We start from the raw sequence: 25,341 nt of genomic DNA on the forward strand, positions 1-25,341 counted from the left end.
GGCCATAGTGAGCTATGATCACACCATAGCATTCCAACCTGGGCAACAGAGCAAGACCCTGTCCCTGAAACAAAAATAAAAACAAAAACAATGAAACCCAAATGAAACAAACAAAAAACACCTTCACAGAAACACCCAGAATAATGTTTAAGTATCTGGGCACCCAGTCAAGTTGACTCATAAAATTAACCATCACATCTTGTATTAGCTTTCTATTGCTGTACAATAATATTACCACACATTTAGCAGCTTAAAACAACATATATTTATTATCTCACAACTTCTGTGGCTCAAGATGCTGGCTATGGTTTAGCTGGATCCTGTTCTTAAGGTTTCACAAGACTGTACAAGATGCCAGCCAGGGCTGTGGTCTCATCAGATGCTTGACTGGGGGAAAAAATAACTTCTAAGCTCACTCACATTATAGGCATAATTCAGGTCTTTGCATCTATAAGATTGAGGTCTTCTGTTTCTTGCTGGCTGTCAGCTGGAAGCTACCCTCACCCCATAGAGGCCATGTTACTTCCTTGTTGGGATTGCCCAAGATGTTCACTTGCTTCCTCAAAGCTAATAAAGGAAAAAGAGAGAACTTAGGTAATCATGTATATCCTGTCACCTTTGCCATATGTTATTGTCCAGAAGCAAGTCACAGTTCTTGCTCACAAGAAGGGAGAGGGAGAGGTGTCACATAAGAGTATGAACACCAGGAGTCGGAATCATGGGAACTACTGTAAGCCTGTGTACCACAAGTCTCCATTTAGATTCAAGAATTGTTAACATTTTGCACATCTGCTTTGTCTCTCTCTCTTTCTACACACACACTTTTGATGAATATTTGTCGTGATTATTTCTCTAAATACATTCATCTCCTAAGAACAGTACACTTCTATATAATTACAACACAATAATCAAAGTATTTTAAAGAAAATTAACAATATTTTCATTCAATCATTTAATGTTCAGATCATGTTCAAATTTCTTTCATTGTAGGAGCAAACCTCTTATACATTTTAAAAAATCAAGATCCAATCAGGTTTCATGCATTACATTTGGTTATGTCATTTTAGTCTCTTTAGTTTAACTCAGTTTTGTCACTAAATTAAAACAACTGAAGTATATTATACATACAGAAAAGTATAAATATCATTGGAGATCGTAGCCAGCATTATAAGTAAACATCATCATGTACAAAGAAAATCCAAAAGAATCCATACGCTATTAGAATAAATGAATTTAGCAAGGCCTCTTGATACAGTCAGTATGCAAAAATCATTTCTATATGCTAGAGACAAAAAACTTAAACAATTCAATTATAACATCAAAAAGCACCAAATTCTCACAAATAAATCTAAGATGTCTAAGACCTTCCCTCTATACTGAAAATTATATAATATTGATGACAGAAATTAAAGAAGAGCTAAATTAATGGAGAGATATTAACTCCTGAAAATTAATCTCTAGCTTCAGCCCAGGGTGGAGGCTTACACGTGTAATCCTAGCACTTTGGGAGGCTGAAGTGGGAGGACTGCTTGAGGCCAGGAGTTTCAGACTAGCCTGGTCAACATAATAAGACCCTGCCTCTACAAAAAATAAAAAAGCTTAGCTAGGCAGGGTGATGCATGCCTGTAGTCCTGATCCCAGGAGTTCAAGGCTACAGTGAGCTGTGATCATGCCACTGTACTCCAGCTTGAGTGACAGAGCAAGACCCTGTCTAAAAAAGCAAAAGAAAAAAAATTAATCTCTGGATTCAATGTAATCCCAATCAAAACCCCAGCAAATCCTTGTGTGAAAATTGACAAGTTGATTCTAAAATTTATATGGCACTGCAAAGCACGTAGAATAGGCAAGGCAATGTGGAATAAGAACAAATATGGGGGACTTATACAATAAGATTTCAAGATTTGCCATAAAGTTAGAATAATTGAGATAGTGTGGTATTAGCTCCAGGGAAGACAAAAGATCAAGGGAACAAAACAGAGTCCAGAAATAGATCCAAACATATATAGTCACTTAACATATGACAAAAGCACCACTGCAATCCAAAGGAGGAAAATATACCCTTTTCAATAGATGGCCCTGGAGCAATGGGATATTGATATGAGTATTATAATTTGGATGTTTGTCCCCGAAGCCTCATGTTGAAATCTGGTCCCCAGTGTTGGAGGTAGGGCCTAATGGGAGGTGTTTGGGTCATGGGAGAGGATCCCTCATGAATGGCTTCGTGCTGTCATTGAGGTAATGAGTGAGTTCTTGCTTTATTAGTACCCAAGAGAGTTGGTCCTTAAAAAGGGCCTGGCACCTCCACCACCACCTCCTACTCTTTATTTTCTCTCTCTTGCCTTGAGATCTCCACACATGCTGGCTCTGTTTTACTTTCTGTCATGAATAGAAGCATCCTGAGACTCTCACCAGAAGCAGATGTTGGTGCCATGCTGCTTGTACAGCCTGCAGAACAGTGAGTCAAAGAAACCTCTCTTCTTTATAAACTAAAATATATTGTATTCAGAAAAATACAGCTTAGATTCAAGAATTGTTAACATTTTGCACATCTGCTTTCTCTGTCTCTTTCTACATCTTCCCCCACCCCCACCCCGGCCTCCCCTCCCATACACAGACACACACAGTGTGTTGCTATAAAGGAATACCCAGCCTCAGGTGTTCCTTTATAGCAACACAAATAGACTAAGACATTGGGGGAAAAAGCATGACTCCTATCTCAGATCATATACAAAAATTAAGGTGGATCATAGACTTAGATGTGTGAAGTAAAATAACATTTCTGAAAGAAAATTTAGAAGAATATCTTCCTGACTTATGGAGGCAAATAATTCTAAAATGGGAAATAAGAAAACATTAACCTAAAAAAAACTAATAAATTGAAGTTCATTAAAATAATGTCTGTTTAGCATAAGACACATTTAAGACAAAGCCACCGGCTGAGAAGATAGCTTCTGCATTTATATTTGTGAAAGTTCTCAGATATCCAGAATATATATAGAACTCCTACAAATCCATAAAAAAAAGACAACCCAAGTGTTTAAAAAAGTGGTAAAAGACTTAACAGGTACTCCACAAGAAAAGCATATTAGGCCATTCTTGCATTGCTATAAAGAAACACCTGAGACTAGGCAATTTATAAAGAAAAGAGGTTTAATCGCCTCACAGTTCTGTAAGCATTCCAGGAAGCATGGTGCCAACATCTGCTAAGCTTCTGGGGAAGCCTCAGGAAGCTTACAGTCATGGCATAAGGCAAAGGGGGCACAGGCATGTCACATAGCAAAAGTAGGAATGAGAGAGAGAGTATGTTTGTGTGTTGGGGGTGTCACATACTTTTAAATAACCAGATCTCACAAGAACTGACTATCGCAAAGACAGTACCAAGCCATGAGAGATCCATCCCCATGACCCAAAAATCTCCCACCAGGCCCCACCTACAGCATTGGGGATTACAATTCAACATGAGATTTGGGTAGGGACAAATATACAAGCTATGTTGAAAAGATATCCAAATGGCTAATAAGCATATGAAAAGGTATTCAATATCATTAGTCATAAGAGAAATACAAATTAAAACCACAATGAAATATACACCTATCAAAATGGCTAAAATTAGAAATGAGAAATTCAAGAGTTGATGAGGTTACAAAAATATTGAAACTCTCATATATTACTGGTAGGAGTAAAGTTGGTTTAATCACTTTGGAAAACTGGTACTATCTACTGAAGCTAAATATATGCCTACCCAGAGGCTCAGCAAGTCCATTTTCAGGTTAATAACCAAAGAGAAATGAGTGGCTATATCTATCAAAACACATGTACAAGAATTATTCATAGTTCAAAACTGGAAAAAACCCAAATATCCATCAACAGAAGAATAAACATAATGTGCTATATTTCATACAATGGACTAATACATGACAATTTTTTAATTTATTTTTTTGAGACAGAGTCTTGTTCTATTGTCCAGGCTGGAGTGCAGTGGCATGGTAACTCAGCTCACTGCAACCTCTGCCTCCCAGGCTCAAGCAATCCTCCTGTCTCAGCCTCCTGAGTAGCTAGGACTACAGGCACTCGCCACCACACCCGGCCAATTTTTGTATTTTTAGTAGAGACAGGGTTTCACTATGTTGGTCAGGCTGGTCTCGAACTCCTGACATCAGGTGATCTGCCCACCTCGGCCTCCCAAAGTGCTGGGATTACAGGTGTGAGCCACTGTGCCCGGCCGACAATTAAAAAAACACACAAACCATTGATACATGCAACATAAGAATGAATCTCATAGGCATTATGCTGAGCCAAAAAGGTCAGACATGAGCAAATCAGACATGGAAGTCTGATGAAGTTCAGCACAGAAAAAACTAATCAAATATGATAGAAGTCAGAAAAGTGGTATATATATATATATATATATATATATATATATATATATATGTATATATATATATATATGGAGTGGGGGTTGATATAGACTGGGATGGAGTATCATGGAACCTTCTGGGGTGCTGAAGATGTTTTATATCTTGATCTGGGTAGTGGTTGCAGGGTGCATATAAATGTTCAATATCATCTAACTGTACTTTTTAAGATTATTATACTTTATGCATGTCACTGTATGTGTTACACCACACCACAATAAAAAAAGTTTAAAAAGGAAGAAAAGTTTCACAAATCCCATTTACAACTCTACGAATTTTCGCAAATTGAACAGCCCATTTCCTTCTTATCACTATCCCTCTAAGTGAAACCACTATCCTGGCTTCTAACACCATAGATTAATTTCTTCTGTTTATGAACTTTATGTAAATGCAACTCAAGAGTATTGTTTGTTTCTTTTACTCAACCTCATATTTGTGAAATTATTCTGTTATTTGTAATTTAAGCATTCCATTGTATGACTGCTATTATTCCACTGTTGGTAGGCATTTGGATCATTTCAAGTTTATGACCTTAACATTTGTAAGGGTCCAGGCTAGCTGTCTTTTTTTCTTTTTTTCTTTTTTTTGAGACAGAGTCTCTTGTTGCCCAGGCTGGAGTTGCAATGGTGCAATCTTGGCTCACCGCAACCTCTGCCTCCTGGATTCAAGTGATTCTCCTGCCTCAGCCTCCTGAGCTGAGGCAGCTGGATATTACAGGCACATGCTACCAAACCTGGTTAATTTTGTATTTTTAGTAGAGACGGGGTTTCTCCACGTTGGTCAGGCTGGTCTCGAACTCCTGACCTCAGGTAATCAACCCGCCTTGGCCTGCCAAAGTGCTGGGATTATAGGTGTGAGCCACCACACAGGCTAGCTTTCTTTAAAAAAAAAAAAAAAAAAAAAAAAGTCTAACATTCTGGGTTTGTGATGGTACTATTTGACTTCCTCCTTTATGTCCGTGTCTTTCCTATAAATTGAAATTTGAGTTCAGAGGCTTAACTCAGATTAAACTTTTTGGCAAAAAGACTACATAAGTAGTGCTGTGTGCTTCATTTTGCCAAATTTCCCTTCACAGGGGTTATACCTGAGAATGATGTTAAGCTTTGAGTTTTATGGTGCAGTTCTAATTGACATTTATTTAATTTTAGTGATGTTAAGCAGCCTTTCATATGCTTAAGAGCCATTTCTGTTTAAGGGCTATTTTGTGACCTTCATATCATTTGCTCATTTGTTCTATCAGCTTTTGCTTTTTTTCTTCTCTATTTTTCAACTTTTAATATATTATGGAGACTGAAACTTCTAAAAAAAAATGTACTTGCTTGTGTAAACCTCAACAATTGTGTTTTCTCTTAGCATTCTCTATGAATTATTCTGGGTTTATAAGAAAAAATGATGACTTTCCCAGGTCCTTTTTTACTGAAAAGCAGGAATATGTGAGATGTTGTCCTTCACTTTCATCCCCAAATATAGATTACCTTGACAGGTATAATATATACACTTTATGGTCTAAGCATGTGTTGCCCTGACCTTTACATATCTATAGTCCTTGGCCAGCTCCATCTCACATTGGCTGCCAGTTCTGGGGCTCACATTCTTCAAGCATGTGCTCCTCCTCCTCAGAGAGCCTTGCTCCATCTCTCCATATTCATGGATGTCCAAAGAAAACAGTCCATTTTCTGTTGCTTATAACAGAATACCTGAAAACTGTGTAGTTTACAAAGTAAAGGCATTTATTTCTTACAGTTATGGAGGCTGAGAGTCCAAGGTTGAGGAGCCTCATCTGGTGAGAGCCTTCTTGCTGGTGGGGACTCTCTGCAGAGTCCCTGAGGAGGCACAGAACATCACATGGCAAGGGGGCTGAGCATGCTAGCTCAGGTCTGTTTTCCTCTTCTTATGAAGCCATCCATTAGTTTATTAACCCACTAATCTATTAATTCATTAATTCATGAGTAGATTAATCCATTGGTATATATATGAATATATATACATGAAAGAGACCCCAACTGACTCCCAGCAGGGTCCCTGGGCCATGGGGCCTTCACATTCAGGTTTTGGTTTGTGTGTGTATCTTGACACTCAACACCCTGTCCCGCCCAATCACATGAGGTGATTCTAGTGTTTGTTCCTTGCAACTAGTGATTTTAATGAACATTCCAAGGGGGACCCAGAATTGAAACCCAAGCCTTCTCTCTCTGAGGCCAGTGCTCTTTCCACCATTTCAGGGCAAGGGGCATTGTCTTTGTGCAGATTTTGATGGCGGTCCACGTGGAAAAAAGGGCACATATTACATGTATTTTATGACAATGAAAAACATGTAATTGTAAATGTGAGTGGGCAGAGACAGCCAGCAAGGGAAACCAAATCCCCTCTCAATTCAATGGAGACCAGTAGGAGGGTCTCAAGAAACTGAAAAGAGGCCCTGATTACAGTGCCTGTGTGTACAAGGCATCCGCCTTCTCTGCTCTCTCTCTACCCAAATCCAGGGGAGTCTCGGCTGCCCTCCCACCACCTCCACCTGCCAGTGCTTGCCCGCGGGGCTACAGAGGAAGACAGCAGCCACGCCTGCATATGGGCTTCTGCACTGCTAGCCTCAAGGCTGCCAGAGTGCAAAGAATGCCAGGATAATGGCTTTATCCACGTGTGGCCTTTTGACACATAAGCTAATGACTATATTCCAGGTACAAATAGTTCTTTCCCACGAGCTGTTTCTGCAGGTCTCCAAACAGACAATTACCCGGTTCCACTTAACAGAGTGACTCAAGGACGGATCTGAGGGCTGGGTCTTGTGAACGCGGGCTGTTGTCCTGCCCTCTCCCAGCTCTAACATTGTGCTGAAAAGTTAAAATACAAAACGCCAAAGCTCCCCAATCCCATCCCACGCCCCTGCCTGCGCAGCCTTTCATGCATTGAATGGGCAGCTTCATGATGCTGCTGCGACAATAGCGACAATAGCGGGGGCAGAGGAGTTTGCTCACCCTCTTGCTTCTCTGAAAAGATGCCTCTGCCTGACAGTTACCTACCCTGGGGGTCACCTTTTGAAACCGACTGAAAAGAGCTTATCTTATAATCAACATTTCCCAGAAATCACTCACAAGCCACAGGCTATGAAAAGAAACAGATTTTGAGAAACTGCATTCAATGGACATCATTGTTCAAAGTTTGCCGAGCTGAAGGCCGGCTGTTGGAATATTTTCAGATTTGATGTTCCAGAAGGATGCTTTTTAAAGCTGCAAATACCTGCAAGCACTGATAAAAAAGCAAGAGTGGGATGTCCTATTTGAGCTGGAATTTCAGGAGCATAGGGAAGATAATCTTCAAAGTTCGAGTTCACTTTTCATTTTTGATCTAAGCTTGAAAAATCACTGAACTATGGGGAAGGAGGTGACAATTAAGACCCAACCACAAATCAACAACCTGCGGAATGTGGTTGTCATTTTGCTTAGACTGAACCACAAACTCTTAAGCATACTGATAGATCAACAAATGTGACTTCAGTACTTAAAGAGAATGTTGCCTTCTTCCCAAGACACTTTCTGATGTGAAAATGGAATAACTCCAAGGAGGCATATAGCACAATTGCATTTTGTCACTTTGATTGCTGTGATGGTTAGTTTTCTCTGCTGACTTGGCCAGGCTTTAGTACTCAGTGATGTAAACAATCATGAATCTAGGTGTTGCTATGAAAGTATTTTGTAGATATAGTTAACACCTGTGTAGGTATGGAAAGGGATGATACCTTTTCCTAACCATTATAAGAGTCACGGTTGACATTTCTGTAATAAAAGCCAAGTTAACAAGAGAAAAGCATAACAAACATATTGAATCCTAGTTTTATGCAACACAGGAGCCTTCAGAATGAAGACTGAAAGACCCCAGAAAAACTGTCTATTTTTATGCTTAGATTCGATGAAGAATGGGTGGCCATGTAGAACTGTGATTGAACAAAAGGGTGTGACTTAATGGCACCAGAGAGGGGGCAACCCAGCAAGATTCGTCTGTGCAGATTCTTCTTGGCCCCTCTGCAGCACTCATTCCTCCAGGGTACAGGGCAGGACCTTTCCTAGAATGGGAGGCTTATGACCTACAATCAAACAAGGTAGGTCAGAGAATTTATGGCCCATTTTTATACAGAAATGGGGGAAGGTTAGACTAATATGTTTAGTTTTTATGGCTAGCTTTGGGGAAAATAGGTTCTGGTTAAAATAAATCTTTATATATTCTATTGGTTCTATTCTCTATATATATATATATATATATATATATATATATATATATATATATATAATATATATATATTCTATTGGTTCTGTTTCTGTGGAAAACTCTGAGCAATATGATTAAGTACCAGAGTAAAAGTGATTTTTTTTTTTTTTTTTGACACGGAGTTTCGCTTTTGTTGCTCAGGCTAGAGTGCAATGGCGTGATCTCGGCTCACCGCAACCTTCGCCTCCCAGGTTCAAGCCATTCTCCTGCCTCAGCCTCCCGAGTAGTTGGGATTACAGGCATGAGCCACCACGCCCAGCCAAAGCTAAAGTTTTTACGCTGGAAATGCAGAACTGTTCAATCTGAATAAGCATGTCTTCTGCTCCTCTCTGAGTTCATATTAAGCAAATTGATAACATTCTTAATTTCAACCAGAATGCCACAAAGTCCTGCAGAGCTGGGAAGTGAGAAAAATGTTTGAGTTGTCACACAGCCCGAGGGTGAGCATGGGAGAACACTGGGTGGTGAAGCCCAGCAGGGAACATTCACCAAAGAAGGCCACATGGTTCATATTTCCCTCTCCCTTACATCCGGGAACAAAGATCTTCCAGCGTTGAGTTTTGAGGACAGAATGTGGAGAAGTCTATGTTACTAATGGCCTGTTAGGCAAGGACAGGCTTCCTAGTCTAGATGGAAAGGATAAATGAGAATAGCATATCCCACAACAGAACACTTTTTACCAAATATAATGACATAGGCAATGAAAATATAGGTAATATAGAACTAAAACCCAAGCCCAATGTGTAATGTAGGAAAAGGGTCTATATGATAAAATTATCTCCACATGCCAGCCAAGCATAGTACTCATTCCTTTTTTTTGAGACAAGGTCTCACTCCATCACCCAGGCTGCAGTGCAGTGGCACAATCTCAGCTCACTGCAGCCTTGACTTCCTGGGCTCAAGTGATCCTCCCACCTCAGCCTCCAGAGTAGCTGGGACCACAAGCGTGGGTGCCATCATGCCTGGCTAAATTTTTTATTTTATTTTTTTAGAAATGGGGTCTTGCTATGTTGCCCAGGCTGTTCTTGAACTCCTGGGCTCAAGTGATCCTCCTGCCTTGGCCTCCTAAAGTGCTGGGTTTACAGGTGAAAGCCACTGCACCTGGCTTTCATTGCATTTTTACAAGGGAGATAATGCAACATCTGTCTCTGCTCATAAATGAGTCACTTTCCTAAAATATGGAATTCTTTTCTAAGGAGAGCTGAACTCTGCTTTTATTTCTCACAACCATTAAAGAATAATTAGCATTAACTCCTTTGAGTCTTCTGGTTTTAAACACCTCAAGGACCCTCACTACAAGCAAGATGCATTTCCAAACCCTCCACCCAAATCTCTTAATTCCAAAACAAAGATCCAAAAAATTGAAAAATGTGGGGAAGCGAGAGTCAAGTTGTAAGCCTGGTATGTCTTTTTCCTTTTATAGGTATGGCAGAGCCTGGCTAGTTGTTCACCAAGCCTGTGTCGCCTTCCTCCTGGTTCAGAGCTAGACTACATTTCCCAGTCTCCTTGCAGTTGGTATGGTTACGTGATGAAGTTTTGGCCAGAAGAATGTGGGTAAAAGTAGTATGTGCAACTTCCCAGCCCGCCCTCCTCGCCAAACCTCCCACATGTGGTCCTCCATGCACTTTCCTCTTTGGCAACAACCTTGGAAATCCCTTCTTGAAGATACAAGCCACAAGATGGAAGGAGCCTGGATCCCTAAGTCACTACCTGGAGGGCTGCCTGTGGATCAGAAACACCTGTGGTAAGCTGGGCATAGTGGCTGCTTGGGAGGCTGAGGTAAGAGGATTGCTTGAGGCCAGGAGTTTGAGACCAGCCTGGGCAACAAAGTAAGACAAAAAGAAAAAACAAAACAAAAAGAAAAAAAACACCCATGTTGGACTTCAGGTGCATAAGAAATAAACTTCCCTTGTGCTAAGTCATTGCAATTTGGGGTTTTATCTGCCAAGGCAGCTAGCGAGTCCTTTACTGACACAGTGGGTGAACAGCATTGCTTTTCACTTTTAAGGTAAGACAGGGAAAGTGAACAAATTTGTTTAATCAATTGGGAATGTAATTTATAGCAATGTGGCTAATATAATGAAATGCCAGATAAATTCCAAATGTGGATGTCACATAGAATTTATCATCATGAATTTGAATATGTGGTAGCAGTTAAATATGATATTTCAATCCTAGATTGGTCACAGGATTTTTTCCCCCAGGCACTGTGCTAGCATGTCACGAGACTGTGTGTCTGTGTGTCACATGGTCTGAAATTTTTTATTACAGGAAGAGACTGGAATCTGTAGTAACCTGGGAGGAAAGCAGATAGCAGGATGGCTGGGGAGGAAGCTGAAGATTTCCTTTCTAGGTATTTTGCCCATACTTTGGGCACATGGCCACCAGGTACACAGTAAGTAAGAAATAAGTTAGCATGGTTTTCTATTCAGTTATCATAGAATAAAACCAACACACAAACACATCATTAAAGGAACTAAGTATTGGCCAGGCATGGTGGCTCAAGCCTATAATCCCAACACTTTGGGAGGCTGAGGCAGGTGGATCACCTGAGGTCAGGAATTCGAGACTAGCCTGGCCAACGTAGTGAAACCCCGTCTCTACCAAAAATACAAAAATTAGCTGGGCGTGGTGGTGCGGGCCTGCAGTCTCAGCTACTCGGGAGGCTGAGGCAGGAGAATCACTTGAACCCGGGAGGCAGAGGTTGTAGTGAGCCGAGATCAAGCCACTGTACTCTAGACTGGGTGACAAGAATGAAACTTCGTCTCAACAAACAAACAAAAAACTATGGATTGTTTCCTCCTCAGGATTTTTTTTAAAAAACAAATAGTTCATTTGTAAATTGGTTAAGACTTGAAGCCAATTCTCCTAATGAATCAATGTTATACAGGTTATGAGATTCCAAAGACAATATGCAAAATTACATTTAACACATATTGCAATATATATATCAATATCTGTCTACCTAATCTCCAACATTTTTGAATTCTAGACATCTTGCAGGAAGACAAAAGTAAATAAGATGTGGTTTCTGCCCTGAAATAGCTGGCCATATGACAGGGTAGATAAAAGTAAACATGGTTAATTGTATTCTCTCCATTCTCCATTTTTTTTCTTGCCAAGAGACCCTCATTTTGTTTGTTGGGGAGCAATATGCCAGACCCAGATGATGAATCAAGGTTGGTTTTAAGCCAGTGCTCCTAAATTCTGATGTGCATAAATTAGAATTAGACTCTCTGGGGGTGAAGCCAGACGTTGAAGAATCCCTCTGGTTCTGTGTGCAGCCAGGGTTAAGAACCACTGATGTGAATGAGTCAGTGACTACAATCCTTGTTCCACATTCTTAGCCTGCCTTGCAGCGAGGAGTGGCCACGTGCCCCAGTTCTAGCCGCTGAAATATAAGGGGAGAGTTTGCTTGGGGAAGGAGGATTTGAGGCAAGTTTTGCTTTCTAGACAAAAAGGAAATATGTGCCTGACACTATATTTCTTCTTCCTACTGTGAACATGGGCCTGCTCTCTGGAGCAGTAGCAGCCATCTTGCAATGCCAAGTTTGGTTTGATTTTTTGAGGGCAAATCAATCAATCAATCAATCAATCAATCAATCAGAGTCAGCAAAATCCCAATTTGTTTTAGTTACTGTAAGTTAGATTTTCTAGCACTCGCAGCTGAAAACATTCCTCATTGATAAAGGAGAGGAGATGAGAATAACAAACAGCTGTAAGGAAAAACAGTATTTAAGGGCTGAAATAGGTAGTGCTGCATGGTTCAGAAGAGGGTGAGAAGGCAGGCTTCATGACAGGTTCAATTTGGGATTTGGGTTGGGCTTTGAGGAACAGGTAGGATTTGCATTGGAGGATGTGAGGAGGGAGGAATTATAGGCAGAGAGAGTGGCATAAAGAAGAGCATGGGAGTGGCAAAGCTGGGGTCTGTCTGGGGATTTGTGAAGAGCCGAGGTAGCTTGTGTACAACATGTAGGGAGTGAAAATGGTAGATGGTAAATCTGGAGAGTTTGGTTAATGCCACTGTAGAGGGCCTTAAAGACCAAAGTGGGGTTTCGCCTTAGCCGGGGGAGCATTAAGGAGGCAAGAAAGAAAGTGATATAATCAGAGATGCTGTTCAGAAAGATTGTCTTGGGCCAGGCACGGTGGCTTACGCCTATAATCCCAGCACTTTGGGAGCCCGACGCAGGTGGATCACTTGAGGTCAAGTGTTCGAGACCAGTCTGGCCAACATCATGAAACCCCATCTCTACTAAAAATGCAAAAAATTACCCAGGCATGGTGGCAGGCACCTGTAATCCCAGCTACTCGGAAGGCTGAGGCAGGAGAATTGCTTGAACCCAGGAGGTGGAGGTTGCAGTGAGCCAAGATCACGCCATTGCACTCCAGCCTAGGCGACAGAGTGAGACTCCATTTCAAAAAAAAAAAATAAATAAATAAAGATTGTCTTTGTGGCCATGTTTATGAGAGACTGTTGGAGACGGAGATCAGAGATTGAGAAACTATCAGTTTAGTTTTCTCCAGCCGTCTAAGTAAGAGACAAAAAGACATGAACTAGATGCGGTTATGAAAGAGAACAGATTGAAAGGCACAGCAAAGGTGGAGTACTTGGTGGAGGTGGGGCCTGGATAAGGTTTGGCTATGTCTCCACCCAAATCTCATCTCAAATTGTAATTTGAATTGTAATCCCCACCTGTCGAGGGAGGGACCTGGTGGGAGGTGATTGGATTGTGGAGGTGGTTTCCTCCATGCTGTTCTCATGATAGGGAGCAAGTTCTCACAAGATCTGGTGGTTTTATAAGGGGCTCTTCCCCTTTTGCTCTCTTCTCTCTTGCCTGTGCCATGTAAGACATGCCTGCTTCCTCTTCTGCCATGATTATAAGTTTCCTGAAGCCTTCCAAACCATGCAGAACTGTAAGTCAGTTAAACCTCTTTTCTGGCCGGGCACGGTGGCTCACGCCTGTAATCCCAGCACTTTGGGAGGCCGAGGCAGGTGGATCATGAGGTCAGGAAATCGAGACCATCCTGGCTAACATGGTGAAACCCCGTCTCTACTAAAAATACAAAAAAAATTAGCCTGGCATGGTGGCGGGCACCTGTAGTCCCAGCTACTTGGGAGGCTGAGGCAGGAGAATGGCGTGAACCTGGGAGGCAGAGCTTGCAGTGAGCTGAGATCGCGCCACTGCGCTCCAGGCTGGGTGACAGAGCAACACTCCAACTCAAAACAAACAAACAAAAAAACAAACAAAAACAAAAAAAACACTATTTTCTTTATAAGTTACCAAGTCTCAGGCAGTTGTTCATAGCAGTGTGAAAACGGACTAATATAGGCCTAATAACAACTCACCCACCCTTGCTAAGGGCTTGTCCTGGGTTTTAGAATCTGGAGATGAAGTTTCTTCATGGCTTTCCCTCTGCCTGGAATATGTATTTGTTCTTGTCCTGACCCTTAGTCATTGCTTTTCTAGCCTCTTCAAGGCCAGTCTTGAGTCCCACCTTAAAATCAAGAGAAGAATGGATAAACTGGCACATCTGTACAATGGAATATTACCGTTAGAATAAGAGAAAATGGGGACCAGGACTGTAAATCTCTTCAGCAGACAAAGCCAGTTAAGCCTTGGACACAAACTTGACCTTGATAAGCTAAACTTAACTTGGACTATTTTTTTTTTTTGTAAATACCTGCATTAAAGCAAAATGAAGTTTAAGTTCAATCAGTAGCCACCAACTGACTTATATAACAAGGGACTTGGCGGGGGGGAGACCAAATAAGGCAACTACACAGTCATAACCAAGCCATTATTTTCTTTGCCTTGCTTCCAAGTTACAAAAGCCTTTTCCTTGCATTCTCTTGGTAGAGCCCTGAACCACTCTTGGTTTGGAGCTGCCCAATTTGTGAATTGCTGTTTGCTCAAACCCTTTAAAACATTTAATAGGACTTGACTTATCTTTTAACACTACGTAGTAATAAAAAGGAACAAACCACTGATACATGGAACAACTTGGGTGAAACTCAAATCATGCTGCAATAAGCCAGATCAAAAGAGTGCATCCTATATGATTCTATTCATATGAAGTTCAGAAACAGGAAAAACTAATCTATAATGAGAAAAAAAAAATAGTGGTTACCTCTGGGGGTTGGGGTTGAGGACTGACTGGAAAGGGGTAAGAGGGAGTTTTCTAGGGTGATAAGAGATTGGGTTATAGAAAGGTATATGCCATTATCAAAACCTGTAGGATGTTATCCTTAAGATCTGCATTTCATTATGTAAATTTTACCAAAAAAGTGAACTACAGTTAATAGGCAAGCTGAAGAATGTAGGCATGAAGAATAGTGATATCTGTAACTTTAAAATGCGTCAAAATATAGGATGGATAGATGGATGGCTCCATATGTGATAAAGCAGAGATAGCAGTGTTAATGATAGGATCTAGGTGATAGGTAAATGGGTGCTTACTGTACAATTCTGTCAACCTTTCCGTGTGCTTGAATTAGTCATTATAAAATGTTGAGGGGTATGGCATGGTGGGGGAGGGGGAGGAATCCCTAGTCTAAGTTTTGCCAATTCACATATCAAAAGTAAAGACAACTGGCAGTGAGAAGTCAACCTGTGGACAGTGAATCAGGTCAACTAGAAGCCTCCTAACTCCTTGTCTCTGGCCTTTTGGAGGGGAACATGACTAGGCACTGAAAAAGAGGCAGTCTAATTCAGGATCCCTTTCCCTAATTACTTTAGCTGGTAGGTGCTGAAAAAAATCTCTCTTCCCCCCAGGTTTTCCTGACCTCCAGCACCATGAAGTCTTTTCCTCCTTGCAGACAAAACTCTATCCCTTTAGGCTTTGTCTTGTGTTTGTCTTTGTTAGGGCTCCTAGGCAAAGTAGAGACCATCTAATTTTTTCTTCTGATTAGATTTCACATTTGATTATCTACTACAAAGCTATTTGAAATATCACACACCAATGTGTTTTGTCTTTTTTTTTTTTTTTAAGAAAAAGTTTCAACAGAAATGTCACTGTATTTACAGAGTAACTTCCTGGTACACATGAGGTCAGCTGGGGAACAGAAAGGACAGGAGCAGATGATTAGAAACGGTCATTAAAGTAATTCCCCCGGGTAACAGGAACAGCACTTCATGTGGTTTATAGGCCTTCTTTCTTCTGTTTGGCCAGGGGCTTTATTCCCCTTTATCCCTGTGACGGCGGGGGCCTGTAATAATATCTTGGGCCAGGTGCAGTAGCTCATGCCTGTAATTCCAACACTTTGGGAGGCAGAGGCAGGCAGATCACTTGAGGCCAGGAGTTGATCATTTGAGACCAGCAGTTGATCATTTGAGACCAGCCTGGCCAACATGGTGAAACCCTGTCTCTACTAAAAATACAAAAATTGGCCAAGCGTGGTGGCTCAGGCCTGTAACCCCAGCACTTTGGGAGGCCGAGGTGGGTGGATCACTTGAGGTCAGGAGTTTGAGACCAGCTTGGCCAACATGGCAAAAACCTGTCTCTACTAAAAATACAAAAATTAGCTGGGGGTGGTGGTACACACCTGTAATCCCAACTATTGGGGAGGCTGAGGGTGAACTGCTTGAACCCGGGAGGCAGAGGTTGCAGTGGGCCAAGATTGTGCCACTGCACTGCAGCCTGGGTGACACTTGAGGACCAGCCTGGGCAACATGGTGAAACCTTGTCTCTACTAAAAATACAAAAATTAGCCCGGCGTGGTGGTGGGGGCCTGTAATCCCAGCTAATTGGGGGCTGAGGCAGGAGAATCGCTTGAACCCTGGAGTCGGAGGTTGCCGTGAGCCAAGATTGCGCCACTGCACGCCAGCCTGGGCGACAGAGGGAGACTGTCTCAAAAAAAAAACAAAAAACAAAAAAAATTAGCTAGGCTTGATGGCACACACCTGTAATCCCAACTACAGGGAGGCTGAGGCAGAATTGCTTGAACCTAGGAGGCAGAGGTTGCAGTGAGTCGAGACTGCCATCACTACATTCCAGGCTGGGCGACAGAGTGAGACTCTCAAAAACAAAAAGTATTCTCCTTATAGAGTCTCTAATTCTATTCCCATTAGTCATTTAATCATGCACTTCTTTTCTTTCTCCCCGCTGGAACATTTTTAATTACAAGGTTCAATCTTTCATAGATAACTGTTTGTCTGAATCCTTTCAACGGCTGGCCAGCCAATCTTTTCCTCACAGTCATGTTGCCTAATTAGGCCATTAACTTTACAGTTTTTAGTTTACTACCTGTGTAAGAAAAGCATCTTGCTAAGGGAAATCTAGTTTGTTTACTCGTTCTCTTGGAGTTACTGATATTAAATAGTTTTATATGTATTTGCATTACACATTTAAGAACGTCTTGTTCTTAAAACAGATCAGCAACAAGGAAATCTTTTTGTGACAGGGTTTTGGTCTGTCACCCAGGCTGCTGGAGTGATGACACGATTTTGGTTTACTGCAGCCTCCACCTCCTGGGCTCAAGTGATCCTCCTACCTCAGCCTCCCAAGTAGCTGGGCCTACAGGCACACACCACCATACGCAGCTAATTTTTTTGGTATTTTTTGTAGAGACGTGGTTTTGCCATGTTCCCAGGCTAAGGAAATCTAATCTTTACAACTTTGCCTTCTGAAATCTTACATATACTAACTTATAATTTGCTTTCCTGTTTTGCTTCACTGAGATGTTCTAGAGACGGGAATTAAAACTTGTTTTTTTCTTCCTTAGAGTGCAAAAGCAGTGCCTTACAAACTTAAGCAGGCTTCAGATTATCTGAGATGTTTAAAAGGCAGATTCTGGGACCCATCCCTGATTCAGGAATAGCAGGTACAACATTTTCAGAAACATTGCCTTTAAGGAAGCGGGTATGTCACACACAATTTTAATCTCACAGAAACATAAAATGTGCTAACCTGAATATTTAAAACATATGTTTTATTATTTACATGTTTGCCCCAAGTTATCACCTTACAGTGCTGTTCCATAAGCCAATCTGGAAAAAGTGAGACTTGATTTTGATTGTTTCCTAACAAACAACTGATCTTTGTTTTGTGTGACTCTTGGCTAATTCTATGTTTTCCTTTCTCTATTTTTAAGCTGACCATGGAGATATATTGCCATCAAAGTTTCTTTGAAATTTTGTGTGGGGTGTACAAAGAACAACAGGAGGCCAGCACTTATTAACAAGTGTAACTCTTTATTAAGATGGAATTGTTCTTATTAAAGAAATAGATGAAAATGGTTAAGTACAATTAAATGGCTCCAAAAGTCTTACAATGAAAACAACAGTCCTGCCAGTTGTTCTTTCCAGAGGCAAATACTTTTCATTCTCTTAGTTTTTCCTTCCGTTAGTTACCTTCATGGGTTTTTCCAAATTATTGTTTTTTTTTAGTTTTTCAAGTGAATGCATATATTAATACATAAAATTTTAAAAAGGCTTTTCAGTTTATAATGCATCCTAACAGTCCCCTGCCCCATCCCTCCTAATTCTCCAGAGCAATGACTTTTAACTCTTTTAGCAATGTCTTCTGTTTTTTTCCTCACATAACTTAGTCATTTCATTATTATATATTATATAGTGATTTCTGGATATGACAGATGAGGATTTAGCTCTTACACCATCACAATCTTCACTTTTCCTCCCATATTGTCCCAGAGTAGTTACCATATTTAGGGGCTAAGCAGTCACATCATTATGACTGTGTACATACTGCTCCTTGTTGAGAAAAACAGTGTATTATGCTCTTCCTATCCTGTACTTCTTTCTGCCCTAGAATGATTGCCTAACCAACCCTTTCCCCTTGTTTTTTTTTTTTTTTTTTTTACTTTTGCTTTATCTTCAATGAACTTCTTTCCAAATGCCCCAAATCTGGCAATAAGTTATTATTTTTAAGAGAAGGGATCTCACTAAGGTGGCCAGGCTGGTCTGGAACTCTTGGGCTCAAGTCGTCCTGCTGCTGAGCCTCCTGAGTAGCTGGGACTACAGGCATGGGCCATTCCACCCAGCTAACCGATTAATATTTTTACTGTTCCTTTTTAAAGCTAGCTCCATAGCTGGAATATTGCCTGTGTTGGATCCTATTTGCTGGATTCATGTCATTCTCTGGTTTGTGTACTCCTTCATTTTGCTGGAGTATTTTCTCCAACAGCTTCCCTAAAAAGGGCACATGGAGGTAACCCCTGAGTCTTTGCTTGTCTAAAAATGTATTATTTTACCTTCACCCTTGATTATTTGGGTGAATATAGATTTATCAGTTGAAAATAACTTTCTAGAATTATGAAGGCATGGTTCCATTGTTTTCAGATTCCTTTTCGAGACAAGGTCTCTTCTGTCACCCCGGCTGGAGTGCAGTGGCACAATCACGACTCACTGCAGCCTTGAACTCGTGGGCTCAATTAATTCTTCCATCTCAGCTTCCTGACTAGATGGGAATACAGGTGTGCGCCACAATGCCCAGCTAATTTTTGTGTTTTTTGTAGAGATGGGGCTTTGCCATGTTGCCCAAGCTGGTCTCAAGTGATCTGCCTGCCTTAGCCTCCCAAAGCGCTGGGATTACAGGTGTGAGCCACTGTGCCTGGCTGGTTTTTCTTTTATTTTCTCTCTACTTCATTCATTTCTCAAAGGCATCTGAAACTCCCTGGGCCCAAAACCAAAGTCAAACTCCATCAGAATATCCTGCTACTTATAACTTTAAAATATATCTTAAATCACAATTTCTTACTACATGCAACCCTTTGGTTCAAGCAACCATCATCCCTCACTTGAACTTATAATTGGTTTTCCTGCTTCTGTATTTTTTTAAATTATAAAATACTTCAAATAAACCATGTGTGGCCTTATACTTTTTACTACATAAAAAGAATGAAGATGTGCCGGGTGTGGTGGCTCAAGCCGGTAATCCCAGCACTTTGGGAGGCTGAGGTGGGTGAATCGCTTGCGGTCACGAGTTCGAGACTAGCCTGACCAACATGGTGAAACCCCATCTCTACTAAAAATACAAAATACAAAAATTAGCCGGGCGTGGTGGCGCGCACCTGGTCCTAGCTACTTGGGAGCCTGAGGCAGGAGAATCGCTTGAATCTGGGAAGGCGGAGGTTGCAGTAAGCCGAGGTCACACCATTGCATGCTAGCCTGGGCAACAAGAGCGAAACGCTGTCTAAAAAAAAAAGAACTTACATACTTAAACATCGAATTGCTTTAAGTGTTTGGCATTCACTGTTCCCGTGCATGCCAGCAGCTTCTTACTGCAAACACCTGAGACTTGCTATAGAGCAGCTGGACTATGTTCCGCCCACACACAGGACAGGGAGCTGACAACCAAGGAGGGGGGCGGGATCAATACTCCAGCTTTCCCCCCTCCATTTCCCTGTATCTCAGCAGTATGGAGCTTGTTATCAATGAGAACCTGCTCGCTGACTTTAAATTGCTTTTCTTACCTTCTCAGTTCAGTTTCTCCGTACCTCAATTGATGATTTCTGGTATGACCTAGCAAATACACTGCTTTCACTGAAATTTCAGTCTTGCAATCTGCTTTGGGTTCCCCAATCTAAGACAGAAACATACTCATTTTCCCATCACTGGACTTCCAGGTTGTTTTCAATTTTTCACTGTTACAAACAAGGTGGCAACATTTATCTACAAACCTCTGGATATACACGTAGGAAGCTTTTGGTATTTCCACTAGTGAAACTGCTCAGTTGAAGGGTATGTGGATCTTCATCTTTAATAAATATTACCAACATGTGAAAAGCCCGACAATGTCAAGGACTGGCAAGAGTGCCACATGTGATGGGTGTGGAATGGCAGCTCACTGTAGCAGGTGCTGGGGACTCAGTTGGGGTCTTGGAGAAGCACTTAGTTATAGCAAGAATGTCTCATAAATGGTATCTGATAGAGACAAGAGTAGTGGGGAATAAAAACTAGTTGCTTAGAAATAATTATAGATCTAAAGTCAACAAAAAACCTTTTCTAATGTAAAAATACATACTTTTTTCAGAGGGAGGGGGAACAACTTAAACTAGAAAACACCTTCATATTAATCATTCTTCTCATATACTTCAAATTTGTACTTAATGCCTTTCTCCTCCTGGACATCAGAGAGAACACCTGGGTATCTGTAAGAAAAAATATATAATTAAATTATGTGTCCATTAAAAACACAGCTTCCCTGATTCTCAGTTTAAATGCATCAATAGTGCATAAAGCAAATAAAAGGTTTCCCTTTTTTCTTCACAATGGTAAGCCACTGTCAAGTTGGATAAATATCATGCTAGTATACTACATATGCAAATGGTAAGAAAAAAACTGTAAACTATATAGAAAGTTAGAAAACAAAAAGTGTAATTTCTCCTTTTTTGTTTCCTTTGGATTCCTCATTCTCTCAAAAACCAGTCAGCAGTTTCCCTTGTATCTTTCCACTCTATCACCCAGCTAACAGGAAATTTCTTAAGAATTTTTTGCAAGACTTACATTTGGTATCACATTTCTTGTGTAAGCAAAAGACAAAAATACAATCTGAAGCTGTTTAGAACATAACTGAAATTATGTGCCCTGGACAGTGACAGGTTCTCTGCTTCTGTTTGATTGATGGAGACTATACTGCCCTAATTCCACAATGTGTGGCAGATTGTAATTCCTTTATTAGGATCTGCTATTCCTGTTCCCTAACTCTCACTTAAGCCTGTGTTCTCTCCAGCTCCCCTTCCAAACCCAGCTTCTCCACTGAGGAATCTTCTGACCCTTCCAGCCTCCAATGAACCCCAATCTTTGGTTACTTCTTCAGTACTATGCAGGCTGCACCCCAGTATGCTCCAGGTGGTCAGGAACGCCTGCTTGAATCAGACTGTGCTTCACTCTGGTTCTGCTGTGTGACATGCCTCCGAGCCTGGCTGTCAATAAAGTCTTCATCCTTGTAAAAAATGTAGCATTGTTGGCCAGGTGCAGTGGCTCACGCCTGTAATCCCAGCACTTTGGAAGGCCAAGGTGAGTGGATCACTTGAGGTCAGGAGTTCGAAACCAGCCTGGCCAACATGGGGAAACCTTGTCTCTAATAAAAATACAAAAATTACCCGGGCATGGTGGCGGGTGCCTGTAATCCCAGCTACTCAGGAGGCTGAGGCAGGATAATTGCTTGAACCTGGGAGGCAGAGGTTGCAGTGAGCCAAGATGGCGCCACTGCACTCCAGCTTCAGTGACAGAGCAGGACTCCGCCCCCATCCCCCAAAACCAAAAAAGAATGTAGCATTGTGCCTAACACATCAAGTGTTCTATAAATGGTGCCTACTAGTATTATTGGTTTGTTTCATTTCTCTTTTTTTTTTTTTTTTTTTGAGACGGAGTCTCGCTCTGTAGCCCAGGCTAGAGTTCAGTGGTGCAATCTTGGCTCACTGCAAGCTCCGCCTCCTGGGTTCATGCCATTCTCCTGCCTCAGCCTCCCGAGTAGCTGGGACTACAGGTACCCGCCACCACATCCAGCTAATTTTTTGTATTTTTAGTAGAGACGGGGTTTCACTGTGTTAGCCAGGATGTTCTCGATCTCCTGACCTCGTGATCCGCCCGCCTCGTTTCTCTATTTTTTAAACTCATTGTAGGCAGGGACAACACAGTAAACTTTTAAGTCTCATGATATTCAATACATTGCTGAGTAATAATAGACATTAACCTTTGCTGACTAATTAGAGATTATGCATTTTTGGTAAAAAAAAAAACAAAAACAGAGATACAATGTAACAAAATTATAGGGAAAAGAAAAAGATACTTTCTGGAATAATTTATATTTCAGGGGAAGAAGCAATGTTTCTATTAACCATTTTCTATTATAATTTTAGTCTCTCTGGAATGAGTCATGAAAAGTAACATCTACATACATTTTTTGTGCAAAATTCTCAAGTGTCAAGATTGTCAGTTCATAAGACAAAAGCAACATATCAAGAAGTTTTTGGGCCATGTGCGGTGGCTCATGCCTCCAATCCCAGCACTCTGGGAGGCTGAGGCCGAGGCGGGCGGATCATCTGAGGTCAGGAGTTCGAGACAAGCCTGGCCAACATGATGAAACCCTGTCTCTACTAAAAATACAAAAATTAGCTGGGCATGGCGGCACGTGCCTGTAATCCCAGCTACTTGGGAGGCTGAGGCAGGAGAATCGCTGAACCTGGGAGGTGGAGGTTGCAATGAGCCAAGATCGTGCCACTGCACTCCAGCCTGGGCAACGGAGCAAGACTCCATCTCAAAAACAAAAAATAAACCAAAAAACCAAAATACAATTAAAATCAAGACTCTACAGGAAGCACAGGCTCAGGAGCAAAGGGATATCCGAGTCATGTGGACGAGTATGCCAGCATCCTGACAGGAAGTTTTAGGGTCAGAAGAAGAAACATCAGCCCATCCAAAACCTACTTCAAGGTGTCCACTGATAAGGGGCATCTGTCCCAGCTCTGGAGCCAACTACTGCCTCCACAGGCCTCTTTTAATCTGTCTTCTCTTTGACTATGTGGTCACACAGAAGATTGTTAACTAGAAGTAAAAGCCTGTTTGGGGCTCATTAAGTAGAAAACTGCCAATATAAAATATCTGGGCCTGCTGGTTTGGTTGGGGTCTAGTGTGAAATAGTCTGAGAAAGATTTCTTCCAGGCAAGATGAATGAGAGCAGAGCCCTAGAGGATAGGCTGGCACAGTGCTGTTGAAAAATCGACTGCACAATGACGTACAGAGCTGACGGCAGACACAAAGTAAAACCACCTTACTTTATTAATATGACCGTCTGCTCTGGCTCCCATCACTTGTGGCTCCTTCCACATTCTAATTTTATTCTCTTCTTGTCTCACAAGTTCTCTCTTTCATCTGTATTTCACTATATTAGTCTGTTTATTTTTTAAATCGGGAAGAATGGTGTTAATAAAAGACTTTATGTTTGAACAGAAACCTATATAACCACAAGAGGTTAACTGATAGAGACAACGGGACTTAAACTAAGTGAGTAGCTGTGGGGAAAGGGATAGGGGAGGTGGAGAATGACCAAAGTTTATATTTGGACAGTAGAAAGCAAATCTAAGTTCCCCAGCGCACAGAGATCTGGAGAGAAAGCCGCTCCAGAACTGAGCAATGTGTTTTCCAGGGACAAAGTATATTCACTTTATCTTCACAGGTTTCCTTTTTCTCCATAGAATGAAGGACTGACTTACTCTAGGTCTCCCGTTAGAGAATTCCCTCCATTCCATTAAAGAGGCTGTTATGATGTTATGTTAGTACATGCCTGAAAGTACAAATGACCATCAAATGTTGCAATGGAAGAGTTTTTTGCTTTCTCCCATAGCCTTGTTTAGAATCTCCACTTTGGAGCAATTTCCGTATTCCTCTCTCAATCGATTCACTATTAAAATTTTCTAAGACATTTAAGAAGTACTAACAATCTGTCACAAACTCTTTCAAAAAAACAGAAGGGAAGAGAACATCTCCTAACTCACTCTATGAGGTCACTTTTATCCTGATAACAAAACCAGGGGAAGGCATTAAAACAAAAAAAACTATAAATCATCCCTTCTGAATATAAATGCAAAAATCTTCAACAAAATACTAGCAACCTAAGCCCAGTAACATATAAAAAGGATTATATACCATTACCAAGTAGAATTTATCCCAGAAACATTAGTTTAACATGAAAATCAATGTGATATACCATATTAATAGTACATTAAAATATTAGTATAAAAGACAAAAACCACATGATCATCTCAATAGACTCAGAAAAAGCATGTCACAAAATGTATAATACTCTCATGATAAAAAATACTAAATAAACTGGAAACAGAAGGGATCTTCCTCAATGTGATAAAGGCACTCACAGCTTAAATCGCACTTGATGAGAGAGAAAAGCTTCCCCTCTAAGATTAGGAGCAAGATAAGTAAGTCTGCTCTTGCTATCTTTTAGTCAACACTGTACTGGCAGGTCTAGCCACGGCAATTAGGCAAAGAAAAAATCCAGATTAAAAAGGAAGAAGTAAACCTATATTTGCAGATGACATTATACTGTATAGAGAAAATCCTAAGGAATCTATTGACAGAATTACAAATGAGTTCAGCAAGGTTGCAAGATACAAGATCAATAAACAAAAATCATTTGCATTTCTGTAACTAGCAATAAACAGTCTGAAACTAAAGAAAATACCATTTACAATAGCATCAAAAGGAATAGAATACATAAGTATGAAATTAACACTGAAAGGTATAAAACATCGCTGAACGAAATAGGACCTAAACAAGGGGAAAGACATCACATGCTCAGGTGTTAAAATACTTAATATTTTTTTTTGTTTGTTTTTGAGACGGTCTTGCTCTGTCGCCCAGGCTGGAGTGCAATGGCGTGATCTTGGCTTACTACGACCTCTGCCTCCCAGGAACAAGCAGTTCTCCTGCCTGAGCCTCCCAAGTAGCTGGGATTACAGGCATGCACCACCATGCCCAGCTAATTTGTTGTATTTTTAGTAGAGACGGGGTTTCACCATGTTGGCCAGGCTGGTCTTGAACTCCTGACCTCAGGTGATCTGCCCCTGCCTCGACCTCCCAAAGTGCTGGGATTACAGGCATGAGTCACTGTGCCAAGCTTTTTTTTTTTTTTTTTAATTTATTATTTCCATAGGTTTTTGGGGAACAGGTTGTATTTGGTTACATGA

General features: G+C 41.1%; 1 protein-coding gene and 1 long non-coding RNA gene across 5 annotated transcripts in view, besides 1 other annotated feature; both read right to left on the reverse strand.

Moving 5' to 3' along the window:
• Window positions 1–241: 241 nt before the first annotated feature.
• LINC01337 (long intergenic non-protein coding RNA 1337) lies at window positions 242–14,146 on the reverse strand. Its single transcript, NR_125754.1, has 2 exons — window positions 14,030–14,146; window positions 242–567 (listed from the first exon to the last, which is right to left on the reverse strand). It is a non-coding gene; the product is annotated as a long intergenic non-protein coding RNA 1337 (long non-coding RNA).
• Window positions 17,848–25,341, reverse strand: part of DHFR (dihydrofolate reductase) — a 28,758-nt gene continuing 21,264 nt past the window's right edge. For all 4 annotated transcript variants that reach the window (NR_110936.2, NM_001290354.2, NM_001290357.2 and 1 more), the window contains one exon: window positions 17,848–20,787. Coding sequence is in view for 3 of the 4 variants with exons in the window: in NM_001290354.2 (NP_001277283.1) it covers window positions 20,709–20,787 (79 nt within the window). In the remaining variant the exon portion in view is untranslated. The remainder of the gene's footprint in view (window positions 20,788–25,341) is intronic.
• Window positions 23,532–23,826: an enhancer, noted in NCBI's record as "tiled region #2279; HepG2 Activating DNase matched - State 5:Enh". NCBI's record gives its function as "activates a minimal TATA promoter and a strong SV40 promoter by Sharpr-MPRA in HepG2 cells {active_cell/tissue: HepG2}" and the evidence as "EXISTENCE:reporter gene assay evidence [ECO:0000049][PMID:27701403]".

Source organism: Homo sapiens, chromosome 5 (genome assembly GCF_000001405.40).
Source record: "Homo sapiens chromosome 5, GRCh38.p14 Primary Assembly".
Lineage (NCBI taxonomy): Eukaryota > Metazoa > Chordata > Mammalia > Primates > Hominidae > Homo > Homo sapiens.